The sequence below is a fragment of the Homo sapiens genome, chromosome 2 (genome assembly GCF_000001405.40).
Source record: "Homo sapiens chromosome 2, GRCh38.p14 Primary Assembly".
Taxonomy (NCBI): Eukaryota; Metazoa; Chordata; class Mammalia; order Primates; family Hominidae; genus Homo; species Homo sapiens.
This window is the reverse complement of record NC_000002.12, coordinates 230024881-230052101: the sequence shown is the minus strand read 5'-3', so window position 1 is coordinate 230052101 and position 27221 is coordinate 230024881. Positions and strand designations below refer to the sequence as shown.

The following is a 27221-nucleotide window of genomic DNA, read 5'->3' as shown; positions in this document are numbered from 1 at the left end:
AGCCAGGCATGGTGGCGTGCGCCTGTAGTCCCAGCTACACGGGAGGCTGAGGCAGGAGAATGGCGCGAACCCGGGAGGCGGAGCTTGCAGTGAGTCGAGATCGCGCCACTGCACTCCAGCCTGGGCAACAGAGCTAAACTCCGTCTCAAAAAAAAAAAAAAAAAGTATGTTTAATATATTAAGTCTATTCTAAGGAGTTAATTTACTGAATTATTTCCTGTAATGCAACAGAGTTAATTAAATTAATAAGTCTTCACCTTCATAGTTTTTAGGATTAGGCACCCACAAAACCACTAGACAAAATAAACTCATTAGCTGACTGTACCCAGATATACACATGAATATAGTTAGAACTTTAAAGGAAACTTTATTTCAGTTTAAGCCAAAAGGGAAGCTCTTTAAACAAGTTTTTAATATAGTTCATCTGCATATAAGGTTTCATAACTTTGTAATGATCAAAAATAAGATAATTAAAATATGCCATCTTACTGAATATTGAGTACTAGCTCATATAAATCTGGATTCCTATTTAAACAAGGAATCATTGATCACAAGATAAGCTTTCAGCTTCAGTGACATCAGAAATTACTACAAAATCAGGAGGAGAATAAAGAAGGTTGACAATTAAGAACTAGAAAGTCAGCCAGGTGCCATGGCTCAAGCCTGTCATCCCAGCACTTTGGGAGGCCAAGGCAGACAGATCCCTTGAGCCTAGAAATTCTAGACCAGCCTGAACAACACGGCGAAACCCTATCTCTATAAAAAATACAAAATTAGCAGGACATGATAGCACAAGCCTCTAGGCCCAGCTACTTAGGAGGCTGAGATGGGAGGATCGCTTGATCCCAGGGAGGTGAAGGCTGCAGTGAGCCGTGATCACACCACTGAACTCTAGCTTGGATGACACAGTGAGACCCTGTATCAAAACAAAAACAAGAAAACAAAACAAAACTAGAAAGTCAGCGTAAAGGAAACAATCAGAATGCGTCTCATAAAATACTGTGCTGCTGTGAGTGTTGTCACATTTTACACAATGGAAATGGATTCCCGAATCTCCATAGCCTGATAGGTCTGGTCAGAGACTGTGCACACCAGCCGGGATGGGAGTCTGTATGAAGTGATGACAACTAGCTCTTTTCAGCTTGGTTTCAATCTGGGTATCCTCATGAAAACAGGCTATTAGTTTTCTGCCTGAAGCCCAGGAGTTCTGAAGACTCCCTTCCTGTACTCCCTTTTGGTCTCAGTTTCCTTATCTGCAAAATGGGTATAATGAAGAGAGCTTAGTTTACATGGTTGTTAAACCATTAAATGACATAATTTGTATAAAGCACTTAGCAAAGTGCTCAGTAAATGTTAGCTAACAGGTAAATATGGTTATATAGATACCTATGTAAAACATATAAGCTTAAGTATGTATCTTTTGATAGGAGGAGAAGGTGAACATAATAACCTACCGTCCATATAAATCCCCAAGTTGCTTCTTGGAATATATGTCTGTACACAGACACACACATAAAGCACTTCTGTATCCTTGAAGCATAGTTTAAAAACCATTGATTGAAGGACCCGATAACAGTTCTTTTTTTCCCTCATTATACATAATACATTTTTAATATTTCTATTTTAGTCAAAAACTGAAATGTCTTTCTATTTGGAAAGAAGCCAAAGAAATAATGTAATTGAGGCCAGGTTTAAGACCAGAGGGAAGGATAGAGACTGCAGCAAACTGGAAGGGGTGTGTCCCAGTCAAACGGGCTCAGCCACTGCACAGCTCCAACTAACTTTGGTCCTGTGGGAAGGTAGTCTGTGTTGCCACTGGACTTTTTGTGAATCCTCTTAATTTTTAAACATTGGCAACTAATTCCAGACATTTTTTAGACTTTGTATGGGATCGACAAAATGTATCCACAGGCTAGAGATAGCTCCTAGACCACTGGTTTTCTTGTAGATGAAAGAATGAATGTCTATTTATTTCAGGTCTGCCTTTCCTGAAAATCCAGAACCTTGTGCTCTCTGATGAAATTACTTAAAATCATCTTTGCATGCTAAAAATGTTTGGCATATAAAGCAATGGGGGCTTTTTGTGTCATTTAACAGCTCTAGTGACATTTTATTCTTTGTCTTCACATGAAGATTTATGAGAAAGAATAAAACGGAAGCACCTTTAGTCAATTCCTTTTCCAATGCTCTGTGACAGGCCCTTTCATCGGCTTGTTCATTAACACCTGTGGGTGCCGCCAGACTGCGATCATTGGAGGGCTCGTCAACTCCCTGGGCTGGGTGTTGAGTGCCTATGCTGCAAACGTGCATTATCTCTTCATTACTTTTGGAGTCGCAGCTGGTAAGCATGTGGCTTTTTTTAAACTCGATTTTAAATGTTTTATAAGACATCTTGGCAGTGGATTTAATTGTGGAGAAAAGAGACACATTAAAACATTCTGTTCTGTTTCCTCCCCCCCACTTCACCCCAACCCCTCCCTACACTCCTGGAAATACATTTTAACATTACATTTTAATATGCCTTAAGTGGGGGGAGCCCACCTAACAGCAAAACTTGGCCTGCCTAAGAGAATCAAATTATATTTCCATATGCCTGGTTCTAAATGCCAATGCTATCTCCAGTGAGGAATAGGAAAAGGAAGGCAGTAACGTTGACTTAGGTGAATGGACCAAAGATTAAGGAAATTACATCAGTGTGGTGTGGGAAATAAGCTAAATAATAGGCCAGGGGCAGTAGCTCACGCCTGTAATCCCAACACTTTGGAAGGCCAAGGTGGGCAGATCACTTGAGGCCAGGAGTTCGAGACCAGCCTGGCCAACATGGTGAAACCCCGTCTCTACTGAAAATACAAAAAAAAAAAAAAATTAGCCAAGTGCGGTGGCACCTGCCTGTAATCCCAGCTCCTCAGCAGGCTAAGATATGAGAATAGTTTTAACCCAGGAGGCAGAGGTTGCTGTGAGCCAAGATTGCACCACTGCACTCCAGTCTGGTTGACAGAGTAAGACTCTGTCTCAATAATAATAATAATAATAATAATAATAATAATAAAGCCTCCTGTGTGAAAATAGAAAAGAAAAAACATAAATACATAAGTAAATATTTTAAAAAAGATTAAGGAAACCAATAACGTTCATTTACTCTTTAATAATCATTTGTTTTTTTTTTTTTTTTTTTTTTGAGATGGAGTTTCACTCTTGTTGCCCAGGCTGGAGTATAATGGCACAATCTTGGCTCACTGCAACCTCCGCCTCCTGGGTTCAAGCAATTCTCCCACCTCAGTCTCCCAAGTAGCTGGGATTACAGGCATGCACCACCATGCCCAGCTAATTTTGTATTTTTAGTAGAGACAGGGTTTCTCCATGTTGGTCAGGCTGGTCTCGAACTCCCAACCTCAGGTGATCCACCTGCCTTAGCCTCCCAAAGTGCTGGGATTACAGGTGTCAGCCACAGCACCCGGCCTTATAATAATTTACTCTTTTAGCCCTGTTCAAATTCATAAAATAGCATAAACCACACATATATGTAGAGACGAAGAAGCAAATCTAGAGTACAGTTAGGTTGTCATTCCCAGTGAACAGGTTAATATTGGCTGCCAGCCACCACAATCTGCATATCCATTATGCAAAATATATTCCCAGCCACAATTTCCTTTATCAGCAGGTAGTGTGATTCACACAGATGAGTAATTACTTGTACAATTGCATTTTAAATAAACTGAATCCAGCTTGACACTCTTTTTGAGTACAGAGCTACAATGAATGCGTTAGCATAAGAGTTAAAAGTGAGCTTGGAATTCTGGCTTTTCTTTTTTCATTATTATTACCTGTGTGACTTTGGGCAAGTTATTTAACCTACTTATACCTCAGTTTCCTTACCTGCAAAATGGGTATAATGAAGAGAGCTTAGTTTACATGGTTGTTGAAATGATTAAATGACATAATTTGTATAAAGCACTTAGCAAAGTGCTCAGTAAATGTTAGCTAATAGGTAAATATGGTTATATATATAAAACATACGAGCTGAAGTATGTATCTTTTGACAGGAGGAGAAGGTGAACATAATAACCTACTGTCCATATAAATCTGCAAGTTGCTTCTTGTAATATATATCTATACACATACACACATAAAGCACTTCTGTATCCTTTGAAGCATAGTTTAAAAACCATTGATTGAAGGACCTGATAACAGTTCTCTTTTTCCCTTATTATACATAATACATTTTTGATATTTCTATTTTAGTCGTAATTGACAATGGTAAATATTTGTGGAGTCAAATGTGATGTTCTGATACATGTATATATTGTAGAATGATTGAATAAGGCTAATTGACATATCCATCACCTCACATACTTGTGATGAGAACATTTAAAATCTACATTTAGCAATTTGAAAAATATAGAATACATTAGTACTAACTACAGTCACCATATTGTACAACAGATCACTAGAACATATTCCTCTGGTTAAAACAGTTCTTTAAAAATGTCAGATGTTGGCCAGGAGCAGTGGCTCCCACCTGTAATCCGAGCACTTTGAGAGGCCAAAGCAGGTGAATTGCGTGAGCCCAGGAGTTTGAGACCAGCTTGGGCAACATGGTGAAACCACGTGTCTACAAAAAAAATACAAAAATTAGCCACACACGGTGATAGTCCCAGTTACTTGGGAGACTGAGGTGAGAGGATCATCTGAGCCTGGGGAGTTCGAGGACGCAATGAGCTGTGATCGCACCATTGCATTCCAGCCTGGGCAACAGAGTGAGTCCCTGTCTCAAAAAAAAAAAAAAAAAAAAAAGAAGTCAGATATTTTCCCTGAGTACATTAGAAACTCTTCCCTATAATAGTCCCGTGAATAGGGCTAGCAGTGGGATTTTTGTGTTATAGGCGAGGAAATAAACACTCCTTTTGCTGAGACTAAAGAGCCAGGTTGGGGTCTCTGGACACATAGTGCAATCAAGGGAGGCTTAAGACAGCAGAGGCCCTCAGAGAAGACGTTCATTCTCCCAGCTACTTGCTAAGCACGTGCCATGTGATCTGGGCAGTCCTGGGCACACCAGTGGTGAAAATACATGGTCCTGCCTGCCTGCCTGGAGCTTCTATTTTTCTGATGGGAGAATGCTGCTCCATTTTGTTATTGGAGGAACTTGTGCAGCAAAGCCTGTTGGGGAAAATGGCGGGCTAGAAACCTGCTTGGGTGGATGGTCTTTCTGCTGCTTATCCCTGGGAGCTGCTTTTTAAATAATCAGTGTTATTGCTTTGTTAGAAATAAAAAGCATAAATAGATGCTAATTAAGGAAATGCAGGTGATCTTTGCTGCGAATTCTGGATATGGCCACTGATGTTGCACTGTGTCTTTTCTTCCCCCCGTCGGCCTGTACAGGCCTGGGCAGCGGGATGGCCTACCTGCCAGCGGTGGTCATGGTGGGCAGGTATTTCCAGAAGAGACGCGCCCTCGCCCAGGGCCTCAGCACCACGGGGACCGGATTCGGTACGTTCCTAATGACTGTGCTGCTGAAGTACCTGTGCGCAGAGTACGGCTGGAGGAATGCCATGTTGATCCAAGGTGCCGTTTCCCTAAACCTGTGTGTTTGTGGGGCGCTCATGAGGCCCCTCTCTCCTGGTAAAAACCCAAACGACCCAGGAGAGAAAGATGTGCGTGGCCTGCCAGCGCACTCCACAGAATCTGTGAAGTCAACTGGACAGCAGGGAAGAACAGAAGAGAAGGATGGTGGGCTCGGGAACGAGGAGACCCTCTGCGACCTGCAAGCCCAGGAGTGCCCCGATCAGGCCGGGCACAGGAAGAACATGTGTGCCCTCCGGATTCTGAAGACTGTCAGCTGGCTCACCATGAGAGTCAGGAAGGGCTTCGAGGACTGGTATTCGGGCTACTTTGGGACAGCCTCTCTATTTACAAATCGAATGTTTGTAGCCTTTATTTTCTGGGCTTTGTTTGCATACAGCAGCTTTGTCATCCCCTTCATTCACCTCCCAGAAATCGTCAATTTGTATAACTTATCGGAGCAAAACGACGTTTTCCCTCTGACGTCAATTATAGCAATAGTTCACATCTTTGGAAAAGTGATCCTGGGCGTCATAGCCGACTTGCCTTGCATTAGTGTTTGGAATGTCTTCCTGTTGGCCAACTTCACCCTTGTCCTCAGTATTTTTATTCTGCCGTTGATGCACACGTACGCTGGCCTGGCGGTCATCTGTGCGCTGATAGGGTTTTCCAGTGGTTATTTCTCCCTAATGCCCGTAGTGACTGAAGACTTGGTTGGCATTGAACACCTGGCCAATGCCTACGGCATCATCATCTGTGCTAATGGCATCTCTGCATTGCTGGGACCACCTTTTGCAGGTAAACTCTCTGAGGTTTTAAGAGCTCAGAGTGCATGTACATATGGTGCGTTATGTTATAAAGTCCCAGATAAAGAAGAAGGTTTCCATTTGTGTACATTTTCCTTTTATCTTCCCATTCCTGCCCTTTACTTTCTCATTTATACATTTTAGCAAGTTAAAGCCTATTCTTTCTTTTTTTTTTTCAAGACGGAGTCTCGCTCTATCGCCCCAGCTGGAGTGCAGTGGTGCGCTCTCAGCTCACTGCAACCTCTACCTCCCAGGTTCAAGTGATTCTCCTGCCTTAGCCTCCCATGTAGCTGGAATTACAGGTGTGCACCACCACGCCCGGCTAATTTTTTATGTTTTTGGTAGACATGGGGGTTTCACCATGTTGGCCAGGATGGCCTTGAACTTCTGACCTCGAGTGATCCACCTGCCTCAGCCTTCCAAAGTGGTGGGATTACAGGCATGAGCCACCACGCCTGGCCAAGGCCATTCTTTTATGTAGAATATAGATGAAATGCAGATGAACTTTTGATCCTATCCACATGATAAAGCAGCCAGGCTGGTAGAGTGAGGAAATAAAGTGGATGGGGTGATGGAATACTGACGGGCTCCTTACCCATTTGAAGGTGGCCTCTGGGCAGTTCCAGCTGATTTTTGTCACCAAGAAATACTGAGAATTGTTGCCAGATCTTCTGTTGTTGTTTCCCCCCAAGGGAAGCTAAGAATCTGTACTGTTAGGTAGCACTAACAGATTTCCAAAACACCATGTGGCAGGTGCAACAGAACACATCCATGGACTTGATCCAGCCCTACATTCGCTTCCTATTGTTGCGATAATAAGTTGCCAGAAACTTATGGTGGCTTAAAACAATACAGATTGGCCAGGAGTGGTAGCTCACACCTGTAATTCCAGTACTTTGGGAGGCCGAGGCAGGAGGATCACTTGAGCTCAGGAGTTCAAGACCAGCCTGGGCAATACAGCGAAACCCCATCTACACACACACACACACACACACACATACACACACACACACACACACACACACACACACAAATACAGACTTATTATCTTACTGTTCTGGAGGTCAGCAGAGCTGAATTCCTTCTTGAGGCTTTAGGGGGGAATTTGTTTCCTTGTCTTTTCCAGCATCTGGAGGCCACTTTCATTCTTTGGCGCGTGCCCTCTTGCTCCATCTTCTAAGCCAGCAGTGTAACTCACGTCTTCCCACTTCTCTCTGATTCAGACTCCCTGCCACCTCCTTTCACTTTTTTTTTTTTTTGAGACGGAATCTCCCTCTGTCACCCAAGCTGGAGTGCAGTGGCGTGATCTCAGCTTAACGCAACCTCCGCCTCCCAAGTTCAAGCAATTATCCTGCCTCAGCCTCCTGAGTAGCTGGGATTACAGGTGTGCGCCACCATGCCCAGCTAATTTTTTTTTTTTTTTTTAAGTAGAGACGGGGTTTCACCATATTGGCCAGGCTGGTCTCGAACTCCTGACCTTGTGATCCCTCCTGCCTCGGCCTCCCAAAGTGCTGGGATTACAGGCATGAGCCACCATGCCCAGCCACCTCCTTTCACTTATAAGGGTGTCTATGATTACATTGGGCTCACCTGGGAAATCCAGGCTCATCTCCCCAGCCCAGGTCCTAAATTAATCACACCTGCAATGTCCCTTTTGCCCTATTAGGTCACATATTCACTGGGTCCAGAAATTAGGACTTCGGTGTTTTGGGGGGTGGGAGCATTCTGCCTACCACAGGCCCGGAGGCCACTAGTTGGCAACATCTAGGATACATTCTCTGTCATGTATTCCCTTCATTTGCAAGAAGCAAATTAACCAGAGAACTTGGTATTCAGGCATAGCAGAAGCCGTGAGTACCAAGGAATCTTGTGTCTGGGCCAGTGCCTTCGTGGAAAGGCAAGTCAGGTTTGGGCAGATAGACTCATGCCCCAAGACACCAGGTACTGTGTGAAGATAACGAGGTCTGTCTTCTGTCCAAGAACTGGAGACAGGAGTCTGCATAGCATGGCAGAGGCTGGGGCAGAATGCCAACACAAAGGTGCTCTCTGGTGGTGGCCCTCAGACAGCCAGGGCTGGTGGTGATTGTCAGAGCTGCTAGAGGTTTTGTGCAGAGCCTCAGGCTAACCCAGTGGAGCCTCACCTGTTCAGATGTCCCCTCTCCCCAGCCACCCCCAAGCACCCTCCTGTCTGGGCCCTCCAGGCCCTTTATTCTAATACCTTCTGGCAGGAATATCTCTCCCCAGTGGGTGAAGGAATCCCATGGGTACAGGACAAAGCCCTCCCTGCCCCCTTTTTTCCCAGTCTTTCTGTAAGTCATAAAGTCACCCTCTCCCTTAAGACCCCCCACTGGCAGAGAGCTTGCACCAACAAACACGCTTTTAAATCCGCTTGAAATTTGAAGTACAAGAAATCATAGATTTTTGCCTGTACAGCGGACAACACCAGCAGTTGGCTGACTAAAGGTTTAAAGTCCAAGAGTCACTTTAGGAATCCCCAGGGCTACATATAGGACTCCTCCTGGAGCAAGCTGCTCCTGTTGTCTGCCTGTGCACAGAAATGCAGATGCAGCATTTTTAGGTGAAAATTGACTATAGCAACGGAGCAAACTATACTGGCAGCTGAAAGGTCTAAAATTGCTCACTGATCTCATTATGTAAAATTCTCTGTCAGGTCAGAACGCATTTGATTATAACATCCTGACAATGATAGTTTAAGCAGATTTCTGTCACATAACCAGAAATATAGAGTTCAGGGACTGGAGGATATTGGGGCAACGTCTCAGACATCCTCTTGGCCCTTTCCTCATGCTGACTGCCTCATGGTGACACAATGGTTGCTGTATCTCCAGCCACTACATCATCATTTATAGCAGGGAGAAGGAAGTGGGGAAAGGCTCAGTCCCAGCAAAATTCCACTTACATCTGATTGGCCAGAACTATATCACACAGCTAGTTCAAGCTTCAAGGGGAGCTGTGAATGCAGTATTTTGCTTTCCAGCCTCTGTACTAGAGGAAGGAAAGGAGAAAAGAATTGGGATTGGCAGTTGAATCAGTCCGCCAATGGTGCCTGCTAGAGATGTTAAATATCCATTGGAGGTATGGGGACCTAGTAGTGGCTCCTCCACCCTCTTGTTGGAGGTCCTTCAGATACACTGTATGCAGAAATGGACTCTGTCACTGATGGTTCTTTGCATGATCCAGGGGTACTTTCTTCTAATGGGCAGGCTTGGGTTGTTTTGTCTTGATCTGTCAGATTTCAATGGTAGCATCACAACACAACTGTGAGGTATGGCATGAGTAATTCTCATGGGCAATGTTAGTCAACGCACCAGAGTTTGCCAGGATAGTTTCCTTATCCCTTCCCTGTGGTCATGTGCTGTCCACTCATCTGCATTCTAGTGAGCTTTCTTGAGTGGAAGAGAAAGGAATGATAAGTAGATGACAGGGAGTTATACTCAACCCTCAGTCATCAGGTCTTATCTCTTGACTGCTTCAAGGTTCCTCCCCAGAGGTGGATTCTGTAGTGGAATGGGATCCACCATGGACGGTAGAAATCGTTGTATTAATGGTTGGGAGCCTTCAATGATGCGTATCATATGCTGCTATGGAAACCCCAAAATCAACATTCAGATGTGCCTGTCTAGGCCAGCAAGCTAAAGGGGACTTTCTTTATTTGCATTTGTTGGTTTCTTCATCTTCCATTGAATTCATGCTCTAAGGAATGATGAACAACATTCATTGGCTACCTGCATGATGTTTCATTTATTGACTTTCCAGGCCAAGAAGCCAAGATTGCAATGAGATGCAAGCCACCGTTTATGTGCACTGTGGGCTCAGAGTGACTGGCAACATGCGTGACTAAATGACCACATTGCACTCTTGCTAGAAATTCGAGGTGTGCTAGAAATTATTACTTAGCTGGGTTTGCTGCAAGGAAAATTACTGTTCACATCACCTTCTTTTTAAAAAAAAACAGTTTCAAGAATGTAGAATCAGAGATATTGAACAGACATTTCAACCATGTCATTCAGCAGCATGGACTTCTTGTTCTAATTTATTTATAATATTGTTGGGCATTTTGTTCAACCCCTTTAAAGATGTAATATAGGCTGGGTGCGGTGGCTCATGCCTGTAATCCCAGCACTTTGAGAGGCGGAGATGGGCGGATCACCTGAGGTCAGGAGTTGGAGACAGCCTGGCCAACAAGGTGAAACCTCATCTCTATAAAAATACAAAAATTAGGCACCTGTAATCCCAGCTACTTGAGAGGCTGAGGCAGTAGAATTGCTTGAACCCGGGAGACGGAGGTTACAGTGAGCTGAGATCATGCCACTGCACTCTAGCCTGGGCAACAAGAACAAGACTCTGTCTCAAAATTAAAATAAAATAAAATAAAATAAAACAAAATTATGTAATAGTAGTACATACTTTCCTAGATGTTTCAGTATATAATATGGCAAAACCTCAGCCATCAGATTTGACCGACCAATATTCCACACACATCTCTTCCATTCACATAAAATCTAACACCTTAACAATAATTTGCAATGTTTTCCACCAAAAGCTGGGAGCCTTTATTTAATTAATACGAAAAACATCTATTACTTATTTGACAGACTCAAATGAAAAGAAAATGCACTTTAACAGGGAACCAGATTTTACTTTGAAGCTGTAGGTTTGAATTGGTGCTTGGATGAGGGTTGCCAAGAATCCAGGGTTGCCAAGAATCCCGGGTTCCAAATCCAAGAACTGAGGTCAAACCTGCAGGAGGGGTGGTGAAGGATGCATGAGGAGGGCAGCTTGTAGGAACTCTCTTCTCTCTGAAAAAGTTGTGTCAACTTGTGCTGAGAGTCAAAGCTCCTGGTAGAGTCCTGTCTCTCTTGACCTGCTTTACATCCGACTGGGTTTGAATTTAAACTAGCAGAAATATTAAAACAGGCACCAAAGGGAGATGGCAGGATCCAGAGTTATTTATAAATAAATCCTAAAGGTGGATTGGAGAAAACCTATGGGATTAACTTGACATGAAATTTAGGACTACTCCTACAATTTGCACTATGTTAAATTGTTCAGTGAAGTTGGATGTGCTTTTTTTAAAAAAAACTGACATGAGTTATGTTTGAAGCTTGGGCATGTGGAGATGCTTTTACACATGCTTATATTTTTAGAGGAAAGAGGACAGTTTTTAAAAAAAAATAATAATAATAATGAATTTGGCCGGGAACAGTGGCTCACGCCTGTAATCCGAGCACTTTGGGAGGCTGAGGCGGGTGGATTATCTAAGTCAGGAGTTTGAGACCAGCCTTGCCAACATGGGGAAACCCTGTCTCTACTAAAAATACAAAAATTAGCCAGGTGTGGTGGCGCATGCCGCCTGTAATCCCAGCTACTCGGGAGGCTGAGGCAGGAGAATTGCTTGAACCCGGGGGAGTGGAGGCTGCAGTGAGCTGAGATTGTGCCACTGCACTCCAGCCTGGGTGACAGAGTGAGACTCCGTCCCAAATAATAATAATAATAATAATGAATTCAATTTAAGACTGTAGCAATATGTAATATACTTAACAGACATTTTTTATATTCTGCAGAGTAAAGATGAAGGATGGGATGGGGAAAAGGGGATCCTAGGGTGCTCTGAGGGTGACAGTATTTATTACTATCCCACCCAGAAGGGGGAACAGGACATGTTCAGACAAGGAGCCAAGAGAAATGTATTTGAGATGCTAACAAATTCAGCATGGCTTGTGCTGATGAGCGGGGGAGAGATGTAGGCAGGGGCCACATCACAGAGCCTGGAGCTTATAATCAACCACTTCCACCAAAACGTAAATAAATAGTCTGAACGAAATACAGCTTAATTTTCCAGCCAGGTAGGATTTTGTCCTATTTTCGAGGTTCACGTTAAACAGCAATAACTGTTTGACTTGTTTCAGCCATTTGAAACAAGCCGTTCAGCTGTTTGTTAGTTACAGCCATCATTTCTGCTCTCAATCACTTGATCATGTGGACAGCGGGGATTTAGCCATTAAAATGACCTAGTCAGCTTTCCTATGGAGATGAGTGGACTATGAGAACCTCATTTGTATTTATTGATTTTTTTAAAATTGTAGATTACAGTTATTCCCATCATGTATTCTGCAGATACAGATCACTCTGCATTATCTGCAAGTGAATTGTTCATTTTGTCCTAATTCACAATGGTCCACAGTTGCCAACTGGTAACACTGAGTAGAAGTTGGGTGTGTTTTTGTTCATAGGTCAGTGTCAATGTGCCTTTCCAATTCAATTCTGAAGCTGAAGCATTATTTTTGGATTACGTTTAATCTTTTTTGTCCCCCTTGTCTCCAATTATAGATTAAGAAAAGATGATAGAACACTTTACTGAGTCACTTCTAAAGAGTCAGATTTTTTTTTTCTTTTCTATTTTTTACATCAAATAACAAATTCAAAAACTTGGTTTACTTTTAAAGTAGATCCAGAATTCATACCTTTTAACGAGTTGTTTTTTTAAAGAAAAGATTATAAATTTGTATGCTATTGTTTGTTTTTCTTTATGAATGTCTTGACTGATCCCTGTAAATAGATAATCCAGGCATATTCATCACACACTAGATACAATAAACAAAGAGATACAGATAACAACCAGGAAGTCGGAGGGACTGGTTTACACCTTTCCTGGTTGCTTTTGTGTGGCTGTTTCTTGATGGGAGAAGTTTAAGTGCATTTACGCATTCATTTGCCAATTCGATTTTTTTAAAGATGTTTCTGAAAAGTGGCCACGGAATACTATGTTTGATCATAAAATCTTATTTTTTTATTTCATTTTATTTTTTGAGATGGAGTCTTGCTCTGTTGCCCAGGCTGGAGTGCGGTGGCACGATCTCAGCTCACTGCAACCTCTGCCTCCTGGGTTCCAGCAATTCTCATGCCTCAGCCTCCTGGGTAGCTGGGATTATAGACATGCACCACCACACCCAGCTAATTTTTGTATTTTTTAGTAGAGATGGGGGTTTTGCCATGTTGGCCAGGCTGGTCTCGAACTCCTGGCTTCATGTGATCTGCCCGCCTTGGTCTCCCAAAGTGCTGGGATTACAGGTGTGAGCCACTGATCCTGGCCACTAAATCATTTATATTTTAAGTCTCTGCTAATTAATGTACTTACTAAAAGGGAAAAAAATGAATGTTCAAAATTTACATTTTTACCATAAATAAAACTCTTGTGTGTAACTCAATCCTCTCAGTTTGCGTAGTTGACTATGTGGGAACCATGACTTGTGATCCATTCTTAGAATTAATCACTGAAATATAGGAAACATATTTCATAGATTCTGAGACACATTTTTCTCATATTTTAATGTCTCAAATTAGAATGCCTTTTACAAAGTCCTGAGGAAATACTGAGTCATATTTGAATTGACAAGGATATTTATTTCTTACTGATACATAAAATAATGGCACATCATTGTCTTAGAATTCATGAAATATAGTGGTATTTTACAGAATGTCTAATAAGATTATTATATTAAGCTGTTAGATTATAATATTAAATTATTATTTGAAAATAACATAATTTAGTCAGCATCTATGGCAGTATCTTTGGCAACTTAGAGTTTTATAAATGTAAATATTAAAGTTTTGTGACTGTAAATGTGAATTTTATAACACCTGAAGATTTTGATTCTTTCTAGAACAAATGTGTACCCTCAAATACTTCAGAATGAATGAAGAAAGTTCAAATGTCTTCTGCCCAGCCTCTTTTGATACACACTAAAAACTTCAGAATCGTTTTTGTAGGTTTTAGAAAAATGCGTGTTTGCACTTGTGAAAAAAGAAAATCATTGGATTCGCATTTCACTGCTGGCCTTGTGCGGGCCTTTGAGTGAACCAGAAGGTTCTCCCCATGAGTCAGCTGGGAATTGCTTCAAATGCCTTCCAAAGCAACCAAGTGGCTTAACGAATGCAGTCCTCCGTAGGCACGGGGAACACTGGTGTACAGCACACCCTTTAAAATGGCTAAATGAGAACCAAAAAATATAAAAAACAAAAAAAAAAAGGAAAAGAAATGGATAAATGAAACATTTTATTGGTATGAAATGACATATAAATTCTTGTAGAAACATGTACAGCAGCAATAAATGCCTGCTTCATGTTCTTCACTTTCATTGTATCAACTCCATGACACTGAATATATTCTTTTTTGTTTTGTAGGGTGGATCTATGACATCACGCAAAAATATGATTTTTCCTTCTACATATGTGGTTTGCTTTACATGATAGGAATACTCTTTTTACTTATTCAGCCGTGCATTCGAATTATAGAACAATCCAGAAGAAAATACATGGATGGTGCACATGTTTAGTATCATGTAATGTTCCGTGTAGGTTTCATTGTAATACTCATGCCTACCTCGCATGGTTGCTGTGAGGCACCTATGACAGGACGTGGGAAAGCATTTTGTACGGTAACTGGCACTGTCATTTGTAAATGCCATTGTCACAGCCTCATTTGTAAGCAGCACTGCCTCTCTGTTTGGGGAGATGTAATGCTGGAAGATCTTAAGGACTACATACATTCTAGAGATGACAGTGTTGTTCAAAGACAGCCTAGTAAGTAATTGGTAGAAATGCCCTTATAAAAACCATTCTCTTGTCATCTACTGGGACTAGGGTTTTAAATACAGCTTTTAAAAACAAAAACAGGGAATAAAAGCTTTTCAACTCAACCACTTCTTTGTAAGACAAAACTGAAGTATCTGTGTGCTTCCAGAAAGCTTACAGATAAATGGGTTTCAAGCACAAGAATATGACTAGATTTCAGAAATTAATTATTACAGGGAGCTATTGATCTACTAGCATCAAACAAAGGCAAGCTCTAATTCCACAGGTAATACAATTTAGTGCAATTAAAGAAACACGGCTTGTATTTTTATGAGGGAATTCTGCAGCTAGGGATTGTGACTCCTAAATCCTCCTCTAAAAGAAGGCACTTGCCATTAATCCTAATTCAGTGCTATCCAGTTATAAATGGAATCTTGAGACAAAACCTTAACAAAGAAATAACAGTAATGATTTCCTTAGCAGAAGCCGTATTTGTACGCACAACATTAAATCAAGGGCTACAATTCAAGCACTTTTATTCGTATCATTGGCCTCTTAGATGATATAAGCATGAGGTGGGGCCTGTAATATTTTTTTCTGAGTTTCTTCTGCCCAAAAATATAATATAGAACTAATTGCTAACTGACAAATAAAGTTAATAGTTAAATCATCTCCAAGGAATGTTGCTAATCCAAAGTATAACACTATCAATTTGTGAGGATAATAAATGGAATGCCATTAGTGTAGATGTCTGTGCCACATCTGACACTGGAGTAGTGATAACAAATAGCCCATCTCTAGACTCTCGTGTTGTTATATAGACCATTCATTTGCCTGAGCGTGGCACAGTTTTAAAAATAGTTCTCTTGATTGATTTCATACAGAAGATGACTGTGATCCATGACATCTAATAATGCCCTTTCTTTATCTGAGATGTCTATTTTTCTAAGCCAAACGTTTTTCAGACTGCAGAATGTTCTTCCCAGATCATTTGAAATTTCTGGCTGCCTTACTTGTTTACAGATAGTTTAAGACTATTTAAATTTCTACTCACAATTTGATCATCACACACACACAAATCCTTGAATATCATTGCCAGTGTCTTAGGTCAAATTTACCTAAAGTGAATACAGCCCATTCTCAATTATCCTTCACAATTAGACGCAGGAATGCTACTAGGAATTGGAATCAAACAATGCCACCCCAAGCGTAATTTTAGCCAGCAGTTTCAGTTATACTCAACCATGCCCTTCTGAGCTGTTAACAAGTGATTCAATGGACAAGTTCTCTTTTTGTTCCATCTCCATTATTTCCTGCTCTAATGTATAGTGGGAGTGGTTGTGTAATGAAAGGACCACCAAAATAATAAAAGGCAGCTAATGGAAAGGAGAGACAAAAGCATGGTTAATATATATACTTAATATTACCTCCAATGACTCGGGAATTGCCTGTAAATTATTATAGACAATAGATTGCATGTCATACTCCATTTGGTTCAACACAACAACCTATGTGTTATCATTACAGCTTTGGCTGCTGTTAAAGAATCCAGCTCTCTATTTTGATAAAGATAATCTTAAAGCTGAGGCAATGCTCCCTCCTCTATCTCTCTCTGTGTAATTTACCATAGAATTAGGATGATTAGATTGAAACACATGTTGTATGTTTTAAAAACTACATTGCTTCATTACTTTCATTTTCCGACAACATCAAACTAACAAGAGGCAGTGTTAAATATTTTAAATGGTGCTATAGCCAATGTATTTGAATGCTTGCACTGCTGGTTGTGTATCATCAATATGAACTTTTTATCCAATGACTCAACTCTAATTACATCTAAGTTAGACTTGCTCACGTTCAGTTTGTACAGTTGTGTGTTGACTTACTATGTTTTGAAAGTGGTGACTTCTACCGAATGAGTGGAAGTTCCCATTGTCAAAAAAAATAAAGACCTGCTTGCAGTATTCATGTTGACAACAGAGTAAAAGAGAATACTGTAAAGAATTACTGCAAATATTTCCTGTTTATGTTATTTGCCGTTGTTTGAAGATATTATAAAGGGTTAATTGTATATTTATATCATGTGCTTTATCGTTTTCCCCTCATGTATCCAAGTAATTTTTATTTACATACAACTAAATAAATGTTGTCCTCTTTGAAGACGGTCAGTGAGTTTTTGTATAAAATTTCTATTTTGTTGGCCTCGAAGAGAATAATCCTAAAATGTAGGTGGTAATTATTTGTTTCATTCTTTCCCCTGAAAAACTATTTCTCTAGGTATATTCACAAACCACATGGACAGAATCACCTAGAATGATTATGAAAAGTGCTGAGTCTAAGTATTAAATTTAAAATGCACACATCTTTGAATCCAGCAATTGTATTTCTAACATCATTTTCTACATGTGAACACAGACTAATATGTAAGGATTTTTTGTTTATGGTTTGTTATATAAAAGACTGGGCCGGGTGCAGGCGGTTCACGAGGTCAGGAGATTGAGACCATCCTGGCCAACATGGTGAAACCCCGTCTCTACTAAAATACAAAAAATTAGCCTGGTGTGGTGGCGGGCGGCTGTAGTCCCAGCTACTTGAGAGGCTGAGGTAAGGGAATCGCTTGAACCCGGGAGGTGGAGGTTGCACTGAGCTGAGATCGCGCCCCTGCACTCCAGCCTGGCGACACAGCAAGACTCCTTCTCAAATAAAAAAAATTAAAAAAAAAAGACTGGAAAGAATTTAAATGTCTACCAATAGATAACCGTTAAAGTATAGTACAACTGTTAAAATACAGTATAAAGTATTTTAAAGTATAGACAATAATACAGCGGAATTTATAGAATTATTAAACAAAAAAGGCAGATCTATATGTAGAATTAGGAAACAGCCTGAAGATATAGTGCTTTTAAAAAAAAAAAAAAAAAAAAAAAGCAAGATAGGCTGGGCGTGGTGGTTCATGCCTGTAATCCCAGCACTTTGGGAGGCCAAGGCGGATGGATCACTTTGAGCTGAGGAGTTTGAGACCAGCCTGGGCAATATGGCGAAACCCCATCTCTACTAAAAATACAAAAATTAGCTGGGCGTGGTGGTGGGCACCTGTAATCCCAGCTACTCAGGAGGCTGAGGCAGAAGAGTCATTTGAACCCAGGAGTTGGGTTGTGCCATTGCACTCCAGCCTGGGTGACAGAGCAAGACTCTGTCTCAAGAAAAAAAGAAAAAAAAAAAAGCAAGATAAAGCAATATGTTTAATATGCCCCCAATTATATGTTTTCATTACAAAAAAAAAGTCATTCATATATATAATAGGCTTAGACATGAATTGACAATTGCTGGGAAGAAACATAAGGAAACATAAGAAAACATTAATAGTTGTTGGCTCCAGGGAAGAAAATCTGGGGACTAAGGTAGGTCTGATTTTTTTTTCCTTATGTACATAATGCTTTTTCAATTTAAAACTTGTATCCAAAATTATTTTGAATGCAGATACTTGGGCCTACTTAAAACCTAGAGAATTGAGAATGGGACCAGTAAATCTCCCTTTTTAGATAAGCTTCTCAGTAGATTCTTATGCATATTAAAATCGCACACCCGGTCTCAACATATTTAAGGGCAAAATATTCCAGTGAATTTCAAATACTTGTCCTGAACCTCTCTCGTTATTTCCTTTTATACAGCATTCTGGTCAATTACTATCTATAAAGACTTCACAGTATATAATCTTTTACTCGGTCCTTTTCCAATCAACAAATGTGGACTGGGCTTCTATAGGAGCAAGGCAGGCTAATGCAAAACCCCTGCCCTCAAGCAGCCTGCATGCATAAGTAACCTACTACTCCAGTGCAGGAAGAGTGATAACAAAGCCAAGGGAAATGACTCCTGACGTGTTTAAATGAAGCTAGAGCCTGCCATGGTGGCTCACGCCTGTAATCCCGGCACTTTGGGAGGCCAAGGTGGCTGGATCACCTGAAGTCAGGAGTTCGAGACCAGCTTGGTCAACATGGTGAAACCCCATCTCTACTAAAAATACAACCATTAGCCAGGTGTGGTGGCATGTGCCTGTAATCCCAGCTACCTGGGAGGCTGAGGCAGGAGAATTGCTGGAACCCAGCAGGCAGAGGCTGCAGTGAGTCGAGATCATGCCACTGCACTCCAGCCTGGGCGACAGAGCAAGACTCCATATCAAAAACAAACAAAAAAAGGTGTAATTAATAATATGAAAGAAGTAGGGCTGGGTGTGGTGACTCACGCCTGTAATGTCAGCACTTTGGGAGGCTGAGGCTTGAGCCCAGGAGTTTGAGACCAGCCTAGGTAACATAGTGAGACCCTGTCTCTACAAAAAAGTTTAAAAAGTTAGCTGGGTGTTGTGGTGTGCACCTGCAGTCCCAGCTACTTTGGAGGCTGAGGTGGGAGAACTACCTGAGCCCAGGAGTTCAAAGTTGCAGTTCAGGAGCCGGGATCACATCACTGCACTCCTGCCTGAGTGACAGAGTGAGACTCTGTCTCAAAAAAAATAAGAAGTAGCAAAGTTCAATGAAACAATTAAAGAACTATCACTAGGAATGACCACTTGTCAAATGAAAGATACAGACTACAAGTGCTAGTGTTACAGTTCTGAAACTTGGGTTTCAGACACAAACAGCTTTAAATAGTGATTCCTCTAGACCTCTAATAAACAAATACACCCCACCATTGGTGTAAATTTCAGAAAGAAAAAACCAGGAAACAGGAATGTTTGCTATTAACCCAGCTAAAACCTGATAAAAATATTTTAAGAGCTGTATAGTCGAAAGTACATTTAATTAAAACCAATATTTAGGCTATATATGTATACATACATTTATTTGAGTCCTCTGTTCTCTCTGTAACAGCTTCTCAGTCAACTGAATTTCTTGCGAAACTCCTGCTAACTATATGTGCTCCCTCTGTTTCTCCTCTCATTGACATGATTTTTGCCAAGGATAATGTAAAACCTTACTGGCCATTTGGAAAACAAGAGCTTCTGAAAGTGGCTACTCTAGGACTTGTTCTTCCATTTACTACTGTCTCTTCTTCCTCTTGCCACTTTTGACACCAAGAAAACTTCTAGCAGCCCAAGGACCCTTCAGGAACACAGAAAGGACATCACAGACTCCTCCTTTTTGGGTAGGGTACCTCTGTTTTTCCTCACGGAGCCCCAAGAATCGTGGGTGGACAGGCTCCTCTCAGTCTAAAGTGCTACTCTTTTTTTGTTGTTTTTTTTGAGACAGTCTCACTCTGTCACCCAGGCTGGAGTGCAGTGGCATGATCTTGGCTCAGTGCAACCTCTGCCTCCTGGGTTCAATCAATTCTCCTGCCTCAGCCTCCTGGGGAACTGGGACTACAGGCACATGCCACCACGCCAGGCTAATTTTTATATTTTTAGTAGACATGGGGTTTCACCATGTTGGCCAGGATGGTCTCAAACTCCTGACCTCAAGTGACCCTCCTGCCTCGGCCTCCCAAAATGCTGGGATTACAGGCATGAGCCACTATGCCCGACCTAGCTCTACTTTCTTTTATATTGAATTCCTTGATCTTTTCAACTTTCAGATGCATACATGTTTATGTGTTTTAGTTATATGTTGTGTCTACATATACACATATGTCTATACTTGTGTTTGGATATTGTCTACATGGTACCAAATTGCCGTAACAATAAATGAGTAATCAAAAATTAAATAAATAAGCCCAAATATTTTTCAAGTTCTTGTGACTTGAGTAAATCTTTTGGTAAATATGAGTAGTTTAATATAGTTGGTTTAATAAAAACAAATGTCTTTTGACTTATCAGCAAAATATGCATGTATTTAATGTTAAGGTGATTGCTTTTATGATACTTAGATAACATATGATAATATTAATAGCAAAATGGTTAATACAAAATTTAAGTTGAGATGATGGCTAGATTTGTCTAACGGCTCATGAAATTTTTCCAAACATAGTTGTTAAGAAAGAATAAGGCTGGGCACGGTGGCTCATGCCTGTAATCCCAGCACTTTGGGAGGCCGAGGTGGGCAGATCACCTGAGGTCAGGAGTTCGAGACCAGCCTGGCCAATATGGCGAAACCCCATCTCTACTAAAATTACAAAAATTAGCCAGGCATGGTGGTGTGCACCTGTAGTCCCAGCTACTCGGGAGGCTGAGGCAGGAGAATAGCTTGAACCCAGGAGGTAGAGGTTGCAGTGAGCCGAGATCGCACCACTGACTCCAGCCTGGGCGACAGAGTGTGACTCCGTCTCAAAAAAAAAAAAAGAATAATTAAAATAAATGTAAATAGGAAAAAAGTTTATAAATTGACATAATAATTATGTTTTATAATATATTTACTTTAAGAGGTTTCTAGGCTGGGCCCAGTGGCTCACGCTGTAATCCCAGCACATTGGGATGCCAAGGCAGGCAGATCACTTAAGGTCAGGAGTTCGAGACCAGCCTGGCCAACATGGCAAAACCCCGTCTCTAGTAAAAATACAAAAATTGGCTGGGTGTAGTGGTACATGCCTATAATCCCAGTTTACTTGGGAGGCTGAGGCAGGAGAGTTGCTTGAACTCAGGAAGCAGAGGTTGCGGTGAGCTGAGATCATACCACTGCCCTCCAGCCTGGGTGACAGAGTGAGACTCCTTCTCAAAAAATAAAACAAAATAAAAGGTTTCTATATCCTTAGAGTTTTGCTAAGGCAAATTACATGATAAATATTCATTAAATATGTAGGTCATTTCCGAATAAGATATAATGCTATGACATTCAGTACTAAATATTAGTTTAATCTTACATACTTTTGGCTTCTTATTTCAGAGAAACGAAATATATCTGGATGTTAGTAAATATGTCCTATTCCACATTGAAAAATGGTTCCATGGCTAGGCGTGGTGGCTCATGCCTATAATCCCAGCACTTTGAAAGGCTGAGGCAGGCCTGAGGTAAGGAGTTCGAGACCAGCCTAACCAACATGGAGAAACTCCGTTTCTTCTAAAAATACAAAATTAGCCAGGCATGGTGGCGCATGCCTGTAATCCCAGCTACTCGGGAGGCTGAGGCAGGAGAATCTCTTGAACCTGGGAGGACGTTGCAGTGAATCGAGATCATGCCATTGCACTCCAGCCTGGGCAACAAGAGCAAAACTCCATCTCAAAAAAAAAAAAAAAGAAGAAGAAGAGAAAGAAAAATAGTTCCATTAGAAAGCCCATGTTTCCCACAGGCTTTAAAAAAGAAAAGAAAAGAAAAGAAAAGAAAAAAAGCTTATGTTTTTAAAAACTGTAAAATGTGTATTCATAAATTGTTGGGATGTGATTGACAGTTACTATTCCTTCCTCTATACTCTGAAAAACCAACGAGGAACCAAAGATATTTGGCTTTTGCTGGCTATATCTACCAATATTCACCATATTAGAAATTGAAACTGAGGGCCGGGCTCAGTGGATGACACCTGTAATTCCTGCCCTCTGGGAGGCTGAAGCAGGAGGATCACTTGAGCCCAGGAATTTGAGACCAGGCAGGGCAACAGAGTGAGACCATGTCTCTACAAAAAAGTACAAAAATTAGCCAGGCATGGTGGGGCACACCTATAGTCCTAGTTACTCGGGAGGCTGAGGTAGGAGGATCACTTTAGCTGAGAGATTGAGGCTGCAGTGAGCTGTGATCATGCCACTGCACTCCAGCCTGGGTGACACAGTGAGACTCTGTCTTAAAAAAACAGAAAAATCAAAACTGAGAAATTAAAAAACATTTACATATTTCTTCATTTTAAAATAATAATATTGAAACTACTATGTTAATATAAGTAACATTTTTATGAAAAGTAACTGCTTTTTTAAAAAAATGAGTAAGAACAGTAGTATTGTTTGGCCAGGCGCGGTGGCTCATGCCTGTAATCCAGCACTTTGGGAGGCTGAAGCAGGCAGATCATGAGGTCAAGAGATCGAGGCCATTCTGGCCAACATGGTGAAACCCCGTTTCTACTAAAAATACAAAAAATTAGCCAGGCGTGGTGGCGGGCGCCTGTAATCCCAGCTACTCGGGAGGCTGAGGCAGGTGAATCACTTGAACCTGGGAGGCAGAAGTTGCAGTGAGCCGAGATCACGCCACTGCACTCCAGCCTGGTGACAGAGCAAGACTCCGTCTCAAAAAAAAAAATAGTAGTATTGTTTTACATTTTTGCAAATTTCATTAATGTTTGGCTTAATAGAAAATAGGTTGATTCTCATATTTGCTAAATGTATTTTTGATACCACATCAGACTCAAGAAGTGGTATTTCTTAAAGGTTCATTGTAGTGTAGAATCTGAAACCATATGAATAAACTTCCCATACAATATTACATTAAAATCCATTGATCTAGTTTACACTTTGAATCTTTTGCCCATTTCTGATTTTGTAAAATGATGTTTTGATCACTTGGAAAATATTGCTCCACTGAGTTTTGTAGCTCTTCTAAAATTTTTTCATATTTTATACAATATTTTGAAAATCACAATTATTATTTGTGTAAAAAATCAGTTATTCCATTTATATGGAATGTCTGGAGTAGGCAAATCCACAGAAATAGAAACTATATTAGTGATTGCCAGAGCTGGGGACAGATGGGAATAGAAAGTGACAGCTCATAAGTACGGGGTCTCTTTTTGAGGTGCTGAAAATGTTCTGGAACTAGATGACAGTGACGATTGCACAACTCTGAATATAATACAAAAAACACTGACATATATACTCTTTTTTTTTTTTTTTGAGACGGAGTCTCGCTCTGTTGCCCAGGCTGTAGTGCAGTGGCCCGATCTTGGCTCACTGCAAGCTCCGCCTCCCGGGTTCATGCCATTCTCCTGCCTTAGCCTCCCAAGTAGCTGGGACTACAGGCGCCGGCCATCACGCCTGGCTAATTTTTTGTATTTTTAGTAGAGATGGGGCTTCACCGTGTTACCCAGGATGGTCTCGATCTACTGACCTCGTGATCCACCTGCCTCGGCCTCCCAAAGTGCTGGGATTACAGGCGTGAGCCACCGCGCCTGGCCATATATACTCTTAAAGGGTAAATTTTATGATATGTGAATTACATCTCAATTTTTAGAATCACATGTGTTAATACTACTAGGCAGTCTGATGAGATGGGTGGTAATAAAACTTTCAAAGTATTTTAAAGTACTTAAAAATACTTTAAGCATTGGAAAGTGGACAAGCTCATGGAAGTTGGTGTAAATTATCCAAAATATTATTTTTCTTTTGAAAGTTTGAATATTATCATTGGCAAGGAAATCTGCACTTGTTTTCCTTGAAGGGATAGCCTCATTTCCAATAATGTGTCTGCCAAGTATAAACATGGTGTTTCATGAAAAAAGGGGTAGTTGAGCTCGCGATTCATCACACAACTGCTTTTCCTCATGACAACCGTGACACTCTGATGTGCAGCAGATGCGGTCTTGCTTCCTCCCACCTTTGTCACACAGTATTAAAGATAGTGCGGTGGCTCACGCCTGTAATCCCAACACCCTGGGAAGCCGAGGCAGGCCGATCACTTGAGGCCAGAAGTTTGAGACCAGCCTGGACAACATGGTGAAACTCTGTCTACACTAAAAACACAAAAATTAGCAGGGCGTAGTGGCAGGTGCCTATGATCCCAGCTACTTGGGAGGCTGAGGCATGAGAATCACTTGAACCCGGGAGGCGGAGGTTGCAGTGAGCTGAGATGGTGCCACAGCACTTCAGCCTGGGTGATGGAGGGAGAAAAAGTAACCACTTCTTAAAAAAATGAGTGGCCGGGCACGGTGGCTCACGCCTGTAATCCCAGCACTTTGGGAGGCTGAGGCCGGTGGATCACGAGGTCAGGAGATCGAGACCATCCTGGCTAACACGGTGAAACCCCCTCTCCACTAAAAATACAAAAAATTAGCCGGGTGTGGTGGCAGGCACCTGTAGTCCCAGCTACTCGGGAGGCTGAGGCAGGAGAATGGCATGAACCCAAGAGGCGGAGCTTGCAGTGAGCCGAGATCAGGCCACTGCACTCCAGCCTGGGCGACAGAGTGAGACTCTGTCTCAAAAAAAAAAAAAAAAAAAAAAAAAAAAGAGTAAGAATAGTGGTATTGTTCGGCCTGTTTCAAAAAAAAAATAAAGGACTTTGATTAGTCAGTGTTGATACCGGATGAACACAAGCAAAACATCAAGCGCAACCTAATCTACTGACTTGGCCATTTATAAGACATCAGCACAATATGCAGAGAAGAGATTAACTCATCCTTCATGTTTGCTGCTAGAGCTTTAATATGACAAGTTACTGTGTCATTAGAAAGTGGCACTGTTTGGCAAAACCGTGTCTCTACCAAAAATACAAAAATTTGGTGGGCGTGGTGGCGGGCATCTGTAATCCCAGCTACTTGGGAGGCTGAGGCAGGAGAATTGCTTGAACCCAGGAGGCAAAGGTTGCAGTGAGCAGAGATCACGCCACTGCACTCCAACCTGGAGGATAGAGGGAGACTCCACCTCAAAAAAAAAAAAAAAAAAAGTGGCACCGTTGTGATTTTCTTTTGCTGAGTTTCCATCCAGCAAGCACTTGGCAATGCCAGCTGAATGGGCTTGTCCGCCTTTCTCAGGGCAGTACGGTAACTTACCCACTTCAACGGCTTTTTCATTTTGGTTTAAAAAGCTGTAATGATACATTCTGGGCTTTTAAGAAACATCATATCTACATTTAAAATATTCAACTCCTTTTTTCTTTAAACTCTGAATGATTCCTCTCAAAGTGATGCCGTAACTTGAGGGGTACCAAAAAAGGTAAATTTTTAACACTATAAAGCCAAGGAAAAATACCTTCTGAGTCATATTTATACTTCTTTTTACTAGTTTTTCCCTTATGTGAGTTTGAAAACTCCTTAATATGTCAGTTTCATCTTTTTTTAGCATCTTTAGTCTCAGTGCAGCTGTGGGCTAAGAAAGCAAGATTTCCCATATCCCCCTTTAAAGCAAATGATCCATCTTTAAATAGAATAAAAATATAAATGTTTAAGTTTTCAATAAAATATTAAATCCTAGAATTCACATTTTAGGGTTTAAAAGCTATTTTTAAAAGTACTTTTGGCTGGGCAAGGTGGTTCACTGCCTGTAATCCCAGCACTTTGGGAGGCCAAGGCGGGTGGGTCACCTGAGGTCAGGAGTTCGAGACCAGCCTGACCAATATGGTGAAACCCCATCTCTACTAAAAATACAAAAAGTAGCTGGGTGTGGTGGCACGCACCTGTAGTCCCAGCTACTTGGGAGGCTGAGACAGGAGAATTGCTTGAACCTGGGAAGTGGAGGTTGCAGTGAGTTGAGATCACACCACTGCACTCCAGCCTGGGTGACAGAGTGGGACTCCCTCTAAAAAACAAAATAAAACAAAAGTATTTTTAAATATTATTGCAAAGTAAGACAACAAAGTATATCTACCTCTTGTATTTCCACACAGGTAAACCTCAGGATACCAATTTACTGGATGAGAATAAGGTTGCATAAAAGATAGCAGGTATAGGCTGGGCGCGGTGGCTCACGCCTGTAATCCCAGCACTTTGGGAGGCTGAGGCGGGCAGATCACGAGGTCAGAAGTTCAAGACCAGCTTGGCCAACATGGTGAAACCCCGTCTCTACTAAAAATACAAAAATTAGCTGGGCGTGGTGGCGCGTGCCTGTAATTCCAGCTACTTGGGAGCCTGAGGCAGGAGAATCATTGGAAACCAGCCTGGGCAACACAGCGAGACTCAGTCTCAAAAAAAAAAAAGATAGCAGGTATAACAAAGATAACTAGCAAGAGCACGGTAGAAGTACTGAAAACAAACTAGGTTAGCCTCTGAAAATTCAACATATTCATACCCTAAACCTATTACCTTAGAAAAGTCTAGAAAACACAAAAATAGACAAGCATATGTTCCACTAGTCATCAGAGTAACATCACAGTTCACATAGCCTCTGGAAAATTCCACTGCTTACTTGTGAAAGAATGAATACAAAAGCGGCCAGGCCTGGTGGCTCTTCCCTATAATCCCAGCACTTTGGGAGGCTGAGGCGGGAGGATTGCTTGAGCCCAGGAGCTTGAGACCAGCCTGGGCAACATGGTGAAACCCCATCTCTACTAAAATATAAAAATTAGCCAGGCATGGTGGCACGTACCTGTGGTCCCAGCTAGTTGGGAGGGTGAGGTGGGAGGATTGCTTGAGCCTGGGTGGTAGAAGTTGTAGTGCACCAAGATTGCGCCATTGCACTCCAGCCTGGGTGACAGAGTGAGATCCTGT

General features: G+C 41.5%; 1 protein-coding gene and 1 long non-coding RNA gene across 7 annotated transcripts in view, besides 1 other annotated feature; one reads left to right on the top strand and one right to left on the bottom strand.

Moving 5' to 3' along the window:
- SLC16A14 (solute carrier family 16 member 14) overlaps positions 1–17120 on the top strand; it is a 33943-nt gene extending 16823 nt beyond the window's left edge. For 3 of the 6 annotated variants that reach the window (NM_152527.5, XM_017003480.3, XM_011510751.4), the window contains exons 3-5: positions 2198–2341; positions 5380–6357; positions 14571–17120. In NM_152527.5, the coding sequence (NP_689740.2) occupies positions 2198–2341; positions 5380–6357; positions 14571–14722 (1274 nt within the window). In that variant the 3' untranslated portion in view covers positions 14723–17120. Of the gene's footprint in view, positions 1–2197; positions 2342–5379; positions 6358–10142; positions 10541–14570 lie in introns of those variants that run through there. The other 3 variants (XM_005246353.5, XM_047443523.1, XM_011510752.3) reach the window with 2 other exon arrangements.
- Positions 348–27221, bottom strand: LOC107985996 (uncharacterized). Its single transcript, XR_001739919.3, has 2 exons — positions 27100–27221; positions 348–1253 (listed from the first exon to the last, which is right to left on the bottom strand). It is a non-coding gene; the product is annotated as an uncharacterized LOC107985996 (long non-coding RNA).
- Positions 4897–6096: an enhancer, noted in NCBI's record as "BRD4-independent group 4 enhancer chr2:230910722-230911921 (GRCh37/hg19 assembly coordinates)". NCBI's record gives its function as "activates an origin of replication core promoter dependent on BRD2, P300/CBP, MED14 and CDK7 cofactors, and independent of BRD4, by STARR-seq in HCT116 cells {active_cell/tissue: HCT116}" and the evidence as "EXISTENCE:reporter gene assay evidence [ECO:0000049][PMID:35650434]".